The sequence below is a fragment of the Homo sapiens genome, chromosome 13, assembly GCF_000001405.40.
Source record: "Homo sapiens chromosome 13, GRCh38.p14 Primary Assembly".
Classification (NCBI taxonomy): Eukaryota; Metazoa; Chordata; class Mammalia; order Primates; family Hominidae; genus Homo; species Homo sapiens.
In genome coordinates, this window is record NC_000013.11 from 60,937,751 (window position 1) to 60,947,164 (window position 9,414).

Genomic DNA, 9,414 nt, shown 5'->3' on the forward strand with positions numbered 1-9,414 from the left:
ACTTGGCTTTGAGATTCTCAAAGCATTTTTACAATTAGAGAGTAGAGAAAATTATTCAACGATTGATCTGATGAATCATTTTCTTCCTGGGGTTTTCAGTCTTCTCTTCTAGGAGTTTTATTCATTATATTCAAAAAGCTTTCACTCTTCTTTGCATCACAAATAATATCTTTCCCTATGCAGACTGTTATAAGCTTATCTGTTAAAGCATACCTGGTAGAAACCTAAAATTGGAATTCAGTGCCTGGAAGCAGGGGGTCCTTTATAGATAGCTGAGGACTTTGAAATTAGTTTTTCCTTGTGATTCAACAGGTCTTAAATGTTGTTACCTTGATTTAATATTTATTGAGCTTCCACAAGGTGCTAAGCCTTCAAGATACTGAACAAATCCCATTTTTTCGATTAAGTTTTTACCTGATTTAATTTGTCTTATTTATATTTATTAAAGTCCCAGCAATGTTGTTACAGATGTACTCACAGATCTGTTTCACATGCAGCATGGTCAAATAATGAGGGAAAAAGGAAAACAAACACAGACTCATGCACACAAATTATGAATGTTTTGTAGAAACAATAACTCATTCATTGATTTCATGAAACCTATGGCTTACCTTTTTCCTTGCACTGGTGAAATTATAGAGACTGACAATGCTTTGGTTTCCAATTTTTTTTTAGAAGGTTAATAATGATATTTGAGACTATACCATCTTATTATTATGCTAATCAGCAAAGCCACTCCAAGTCTATTTTGAAAATGAACCTTCTTCATTATAAAAAATTAATAATAGTCTCAATTTTCCCACTCAGAATTTATCATCTTAATGTTGAATCATAACAACTTTTAATTTGAGGACAAATTACAGAGTGATTTATAAACAGCAGTTATTGTCTTCTTAAAGGTCTTTCTCTTTATAGATAAGTTATAGCTAACTACCATCAGTGGCTCTTCTGTGGAAATGTCTTGGGGGTCCCAGGCCTGCATTTAATGTCAGAGGAACAACAGGCAATGTTCAAAGTCAATAGAACTGAACATCTCCTGTTCAACAATGTGGAACTGAAGATCATTAACAGATTGAAAAATTACAAAACAAAGTTTCTAAAGATGTTTGGAACACCGAGCATTCTGCATAATAATCCACAATAGGACTAGCAGTCAGTGTTCCATAGAATACCTGCTTTAAAATTAACTGGTGGCACTTTAATTTTAGAACCTGATTCTTTATTCAGTGTGGTTTGGGACAGGCCAGATGTTAGTTCAATGTCTAGTTCTTTCTCATTAAAGCTGTAGATGCCATAAAAAGAGAATTCCTTAGCCTGAAAAAAAAAAAAGAACTTACTGAAATGGTGCTATGTACCTTAGAAAATACAAAGAAAGTAGAAGCATTAATAGGAAAAGGATAAAAGTTAAAGTTCTATTATTTTTCTCCAGTGTTAGAATTCTTCTCAGTATCCCAGTACATCATCTTGAAAACCCCTTACATAAATACATCCTATTTTAGAGGCCACTGCTTTAAATCTACCAGCTTGGTTTAGTAGTTTAGATAATCTGGAGAGATACCAAAACTTGTATTTGGTATCACTGTATAGCTAAGCTCAGGTGTAATCATTCCTTTTGTTCCTAGAAAATGACTGTTACAGAAACTTAAATGTGACTACCTACATGTAAAAAGAAAATAAGTAACTGTCTCTTCCTGGGGTACAATTATTGTTAATTTTACCAAAATTGTTGGCTTTGACTTTATTCCCATGATCAGGATTACTGTGATCCATTGATAATAGATGTTTCCAAAATTGAGCAAAAGACTTGAAACCATCTTGGACCATTAAAAAGTGCTGAAGGCAAACTAGATTTCACTTTATCTTTACTTTCTTTACCTTCTAGTTGCACCATGTTTTACATGAATAGTCAGCCACAGAGACGGAGAGCCAAGGGTGCAGTGGGCCTGAAAGTGGGAATTTATGGACACATGATTTCTTTCCAGTCTGACTGGGTTGTCAGTTTCACTGGAGAAGGTATCTGGGAAAGGCCCAGCTACTACGTAACTACCAAAGGGGATCGTGCATTGGGGAATGGGAATGAAGTTTTCCTTGAGCGCTGCAGTCTTGCATCATGGCTCTCCAGATATGATTTTGATGAAATATTTTCCTCTTTAAGAACACTACATTAAGAGGAATATTTCCTTATTAATATGCCTTTAGTTACAAGTAATGTTAATAGGTGTTAAGTGAGCAAGTATTTCTATGGCCACATGCATTTGGAAAAGAACTTGTTATTCAAAGTTAGTCCTTCATAGGCTACTCTACACATTGCTCTCTGATAGAGGAATGTGCGTGCATTTATCTTACAAAGTCAACTCTTACTGGGTTTCAGAGTTGCTATCTGCTTAGATCTTACCAGAATAATGTTCCATGAAACATACTTTGAGAAATGCTGGTCCATAAGGATCACGTTTCCAGGACAAGCCTCCTGAGGACGAGGGTCTAACAGAACCATTCCCAGTTTTGGTATTTCGGTTTTATGCAGCAGTTAGAAGGTATATTAAAACAAAACAATCCAACAACTGAGTTGAGATCAGGCACTTAACACCCACAGATATTATTTATTCATCAAGCATTTACTTAGTGCTCACTTGGTTTGTTTATCTCTATCTCACAGGATTCAAAGATGAGTGAAGCATAGCATCTTTCCTGCATAAACATTTAAAAAAGGAGAAAGTGAGAGAGAGGAGTCTTCCATCCACTTCTAAATAGAACAAAATGATATCTCAGTGCCCTTAACTTTGAAACTGAAACAGAGCTTCTAGATCATCTCAAGATTTTGCAGCTTTGGAGAAAGCAAGCTGTAGGACTCATGGCATAGTGAGCAGCATTTTTGCCATGAGCGTCTGCATTAGGAAAATCTGGAGACTGCCGTCTCAAAGGGCTCCTTGGGCCATGGATCACTGCTCAGGGGATGGGAGGAGGCAAGTCTAGGAGGGCCTGCCTGTGAGCTCAGGTGAGATGCCCTTGAGGCCACTAGGGAGAAGGTGGGCCAGAGTCATTGATGGGATTTGAATAGTGAAGGGGTTAATAAGCCAATGAAATGTGGATTGCTCAACTTAATATAAGCACATAAGTACTGTGTGAGGAAAAACAAACTGTGGAGAAAATAGATTTTCCTCTGCTCTCATCCCACAACAATGAACACAGAAGACTTCTGTGACCAAATGTGGGTCCTCCGCTGCACCCCACACACCAAGCAAGTGATCAATTCTGCAGTGGACACCAGCATTCGGTATCCTCCACTTCAATCCTGACACCATCTACCTGGAGATAGCATCAGATACCGCAGGTTGGGGGCTCAGTCCCACAAGACTGCCCTCGACTTTGGATGCCAATCACAAGCCCCAGGTTTTTATATCTGTGCTTCTGACTGGCTGTAAATAGAAGTTCCCAAAATTCCCTTCTCCTGTTCGATTAGTTTGCTAGAGTGGCTCACAGAACTTGTTACAGGTAGTTAGACAGGCATGAGTGGGGCAGGAGAGGGTCCTCCCTCACCTACTAGGAATGTTGGGTGATGGTTTGGCAATTATCACATTGCCTCTCTAAAAGTGATAAGTTGCCAGCCGGTGCCAGGGAAAGGCCACTTCCTGATGATCTACACCTGTTGCACTAAAGTGTTAATTGAATGCAGATGCCAGTGGGGAGCAAATTTCTGGGCATGCACATTAAGAGACAAAATGGCTGAGTATGATCTTCCAGGCACACTCCACCAGAAAAGGGAAGAAAAGCCTCAGATGGGCATGTGTACAACTTCCTAAACACACTGCATGTGGTCATTTTCCAAGCATAAGGAGGGTACTGTGCATGCAGGCAGCCCACCCTAAGGTAGAATCATGGGAAAGGGGCCAGCCTATAAAGTCCTAGGATCCAGGTTAAAGACCACACTTGTTCTTCAAGTCACATGCTTGGGTCTCTTCCAAGCACACTTTCTTTTCTGTTCTAAAGCTTTTTAAAATAAGCTTCCACTGCTGCTCTGAAACTTGCCTAGGTCTCTTTTTCTGCCTTTGTCCCTCAGTTGAATTCTTTTTTCTGAGGAGGCAAGAATTGAGGTTGTCATAGACCTGCATGGAGTCACTCCTGGCAACTCGGATACCTTCCACGGGTAACAAACTCAGGGAAACACTTAGGTTTACAGGTTTATTGTAAACAACATAACAAAGGATGTAGATAAAGACATGGGGAGGGCAAGGTATAGGGGAAGGTGCATGGAGCTTCCATGCCCTCTCTGGGCATGCCACCTTTCAGGAACCTCCATGTGTTCAGCTGTCCAGAAGCTCTGTGAACCCTGTCCCTTTGGGTTGTTATGGAGGTTTCATTACACAAGAATGATTAATCAAACCATCGGCCATTGGTGATCAACTCAACCTTTAGCCCTTCTTCATTCCCTGGAGGTTGAGGGGAGGAAAAGTCCCAACCCTCTAACCCTGTCTTAGTCTTTCCAGTGACCAGGCCCCGTACTGAAGCTACTTAGGAGCTTCCAGCCATCAGTCAATTCATTAGCATACAAAAAGATATCACTTTGGATATTCTAAGGATTTTAGGAGTTGTATGTGAGAAAATGGGGAAGAAGACCAAATAATTATTTTACAATATCACAAGTACTCACAGTCTGGTGAGATATGGAAAACCCAGATCTCTTAGACCAAAAATCTCAAGAAAAGATTATAAGGTGTCCTTATATTTAAAAAAAATTTTAAAAATTGAAGGGAGTAGAATGTAAGAAAAAATTTCTGAATTTCACAGAGAGGCTTAGCCTTGACACATGCTGGCCGTGTTACTGAGCATGCTACATTAAGGCCTCTACGTATAAATGCTTTTTTTCATTTATTACAAAGGCCTAAGGCCTATCCTCGTATCTATTGTGGAGATTAAATGAGATACTTCACATAAAATTAGCAAACACATAGTAGATATTCAGTAACCATTGGTTTCCTTCTTCAGACATTAAATAGTCTGAAGCTATGATTAAAGTGATCATAGCTGACTGATTTCTTGATATGAGAGAAATGGTAGGCTTTCTTTCAAAGATGGGAGAAACTTTAGAAGGATCAGCTGGTACGTAGTAAGGAGCTACACTAAGATTGGAGGAAATGGTCAAAGCACACTTATTTCTTTCTTAGGAATTTGTAATCAGAACTGAGAGAGATCATTCTCTGACATAGTAGCAGAAAATATAATATCTAAACTTAGAACTATTGGGATCACTTTCTCTACCTGGGTGACTGGAGAAGCAGAGGAGGCCACTCTAAAGAAAGAGAGAGAAGAATTAGCCACGCCCCCCACCAAAAAAGAAGAGTCCGGATATGAAAGCCAGCCTAAGTCCCTGCTTCTATTTGTTTCTAGGGATCAGATGTGTTCTCCCCTTAGCTTGTGTAATCAAATCCCATACCATTACACCGAATTTCTACTTTTAAGCGTAAGCTATTTTGAATGGACCTCTAGTACTTCTTACCCGAAGACCACAGAGCAGGAAATTAAGCAGCTTCCACAATTTATGGCACTTTGAAGATTGTAGCAGGTAATTCACACTCTGGGCCCTGACCTTGTGAAGAGGGTGATATGGTTTGGATGTGTTTCTCTTCCAAATCTCATGTTGAAATGTGATCCCCAATGTTGGAAATGGGGCCTGGTGAGAGATGCTTGCGTCATGGGGGCAGATCCCTCATGGCTCAGTCCTGTCTTCGAAGTAATGAGTGGGTTCTTGCTCTGAGTTCATGTGAGATCTGGTTGTTCAAAACACTGTGGCACCTTCCCCGCCCTTGCTCCCTCTGTCTTGCTCCCACTCTCACTGAGTGACATGCCTGCTCCCCCTTCACATTCTGCCATGATTGGAAGCTTCCTGAGGCCCTCACCAGGAGCAGATGCCAGGGCCATGCTTCCTATAGAACCACGAGCCAAATAAACCACTTTTCTTTATAACTTATGTTATAAGGTATTTCATTATAGCAATGCAATAATAGAACCTATAGCCTATAGAACACAGCCTATAGAACCACGAGCCAAATAAACCACTTTTCTTTATAACTTATGTTATAAGGTATTTCATTATAGCAATGCAAAAACAGGCTACCAGAGGGGAGAATTTTAACAAGGGCAGAATTTTAACAAGATGCATAATGGACTTCCCAGAGCAGTCAATAATTTTAGTTCTTAAGTTCTGTGAGTAAAGAATTGGTTATACCTTCATGTATGAATGATTCGTTAGATTCCTGCTTCCAATGGAGAAGATTCAGTTTAATCAAAGATTTTCTGGACTCAAAATCATCGGAGCATAATTGTAATTGTCATAACAGCTCTATTATTCCTTCTGTTGAAAAATCTTAAGGCATTCTTCCTTACCAAAACACAGTGACATTGGAGGTGGCCTTCCTTAATAAAATACCCTGCTTGCTTCCTTTTCCATCTGGCAGTAGTTGCTTTGGGGACAGGTCTCAGCAGGCCCAGTGAGAAGGCACAGCAGCTTTTGCTTAGTCCTAATTTACTTGATTAGATCTAAAATGTAGAATAAAACTTTGTACAATCAATATTTTCAGTTGACCCTTAACCTGTATTCACTTCTAGGTTTTCTTGAAACTTCCATTTCAAAGGAAGGGAAATGCAAACCTTTAATGGTCACAGTGGTCAGGCCTCTCCTCTTCCCACCGCCCCACACTGCAAGTGGCCATTTCACCCTGGGCATTTTGGGCAAAGGCAGTTTAGAGAGGCCCTCTAAGCCCCACCTGCTGCTCTGTGCATTAGGGTCAAACCCGGTGTCATGGCACTTTCACTGCCTAGCCAACTCAGGGCGGAAGTCACCTGGTATCTGGTCTAGATGCTCCTCATGCCCCCAAATTGCCCTGTCCAAGCACTAGCTTTAACCTTTTAGAGAAATAAAATCAGTCATTGAATAGTGTCATCAGAGAATGAGAGAAGAAGTGAAATCAGAGCAAAACCAAAAGGATTTTAGAAAGGGGAAAAAAAAATAATTTCCCTGTCTAAGCCATTTTCAACTGATTCCACAAACACAGCTTAAATGTTCTTACTTATCTGATTTAAAAGAATTGAAGGAGAAGGCAAGGGGTACTTCTTGATATTTCCTGATGAGGACTGAGCCCACCTCTTAGTTCGGGGTCTTCTCTTAAATTGCCTGTGGCAGTTTTTTTTCAGAAATATGGTTACTACAAGATGATTGTGTCAGAGGTCATATGTTTTGGTTTTGTGATTTCTTCTCTAAGCCTTCAAATCATTCTGGAATTAACAGAATGGACTAAGCAAAAGCTGCTGTGCCTTCTCACTGGGCCTGTTGAGTCCTGTCCCTAAAACAACTACTGCCAGATGGAAAAGGAAGTAAGCAAGGTATTTTATTAAGGAAGGCCACCTGCAATGTCACTGTGTTTTGTTTCTCTGAGCTACTTTAGGGAATACTCTTAATGTTTTCTATATTTTGTTTTGGGGATACATGTTTAAAAATTCATTTATTAAGTTCATATCTTGTGAGAGGCACTTTTCTAGATTCTGGGGATAAAGCAGTGAACAAAGATGGGCGATATCTTTGTTCTCAAATGCTTAAATTCTAGAAGAGGCAAACAAGCATATAATAAAAAAGATGTTAAATGTTTTTTCACAGAATTATGATGAATCAATGTGATAAAGTGACCTCATGGCTGAATTAGGTTATCACCCTTCTCGGAATAGGTGACATAAATCAAGATCTGAAAGAAGAGATGGAACCAGCCACACAAAGACCTTGAATCAAGTCATTCCAGGCAGAGGGAGCAGCTAGTGCAAGGCACTAAAACAGGAATAAACTGGCTGTGTCCAAGAAACAGCAAGAAGGTGGAGCACAGTGGGTGAGAGAGAAGCATGAACAAGATGAGACAGACTGGTAGGCAGGCAGCAGGGTTGTATAGGGCTTACCAACCAGATTAAGAAATTGGGATTTTATTCAGGTGCAATGGGAATGCCTTAGAGTGTTTTAAATAGAATAATGATATTAATTTGAATTATTTTATTTTAAAAATAACTCTGCTTCTTTGGTGGGTGGATTATAGGAAAGCAAGCAAGGAAACACAGAACCAGTTGGGAGGTCTTTTAATGGTTCACCCTATAGGTAATAACAGCCTGAACAATGATGTTTATGGGAAACGTGGAGTATATATATAGGCTGTGGATATGCGTTTGAGGCTGAATTGATGACATTTGTCAATTTATTACATGGCATGTGTGTGTTTGTGTGTGTGTGTATGTCCGTGCATATGTGAGAATACATACACTTTGGGAAGGATAGAGTTAAGAGATGAACAAAGATAATTTCTGGACATTTTGCTTGAACACTTGGGAGACTTTTGGCATTAATTACTGAAATGGAAAAGTTGAGGGGGAAATAAGCTTGGTGGATGCAGACGGTAAGAAATCAAGATTTTGCTTCTGAGACATGCCTATTACATATCTAATTTAGAATCAAATAAGTATGGAATTATAGGAGAGAAAAATGTGAGACTCATTAGGATCAAGATGGTGTTCCAAACCATGAGACTAAAAAAGAAGACAGAAATAATGGGTCTAGGAAAGAGTATTGGGAACCAACATTCATTCATTCACTCATTGATTTATTTATTTTCTTGAAACCAAAGGTTTCCAATCAGGTTGCCTGACTGGTCTTTATTTATATATAAATATATAGATTTCTTTTTTCCTCATTTGTACAAATTTGAGGACAAGTGCAGTTGTGTTACATGCATCTATTGCATGGTGGTGAAGCCTGGGCTCTCAGTGTATTCGTCACTCAAATGTGTATGTACATTCCACTCTTTAGGTAATTTCTCATTACTCATCCCCCTCCCATCCACCCATCCTCCTAAGTCTCTGATGTCTGTTATTCCATACTTGATGTCTGTGTGTTTACCCTGTTTAGCTCCCACTTATTAGTGAAAATATGCATATTTAACTTTCTGAGTTATTTCACTTAGGATAATGGCTCCTAGTTCCATCCAAGTTGCTATAAAAGACACAAGTTCATTCTTTTTTATGGCCAAGTAGTATTTCATGGTATATAAACATACCACATTTTGTTTACTCAATCATCCATTGATGGACACTTGAACACTTAGCTTGATTCCATATCTTTGTGATTGTGAATAGGGCACTGACATTTAGAAGTCAATTAGAAGTGAATTGAGACTCAGCAAAGGAGACAGAAAAGCTGTAGTCAGTGATGTTAGCAGAAAGCCAGGAGAGACCAGCCTTACACAATCCAAAAAAAAAAAAAAGAAAGTATACCAAAAAAGGAAGTCAAATATATCCAAATCCATAAAGGTCAAGAAACTACAAAGAAAAGCTAGTATTGGCTATATACTAAACAGTCCATTGCTGGATCATCTGGTAGTTCTATTT

The 9,414-nt window shown here is 39.2% G+C and overlaps 1 long non-coding RNA gene across 1 annotated transcript in view; it reads left to right on the top strand.

Annotated features, from left to right (window-relative positions):
- LINC01442 (long intergenic non-protein coding RNA 1442) overlaps positions 1-8,205 on the top strand; it is a 29,201-nt gene extending 20,996 nt beyond the window's left edge. The window contains exons 2-3 of the long non-coding RNA NR_184201.1: positions 2,657-2,995; positions 7,649-8,205. This is a non-coding gene — a long non-coding RNA (long intergenic non-protein coding RNA 1442). The remainder of the gene's footprint in view (positions 1-2,656; positions 2,996-7,648) is intronic.
- Positions 8,206-9,414: the final 1,209 nt, after the last annotated feature.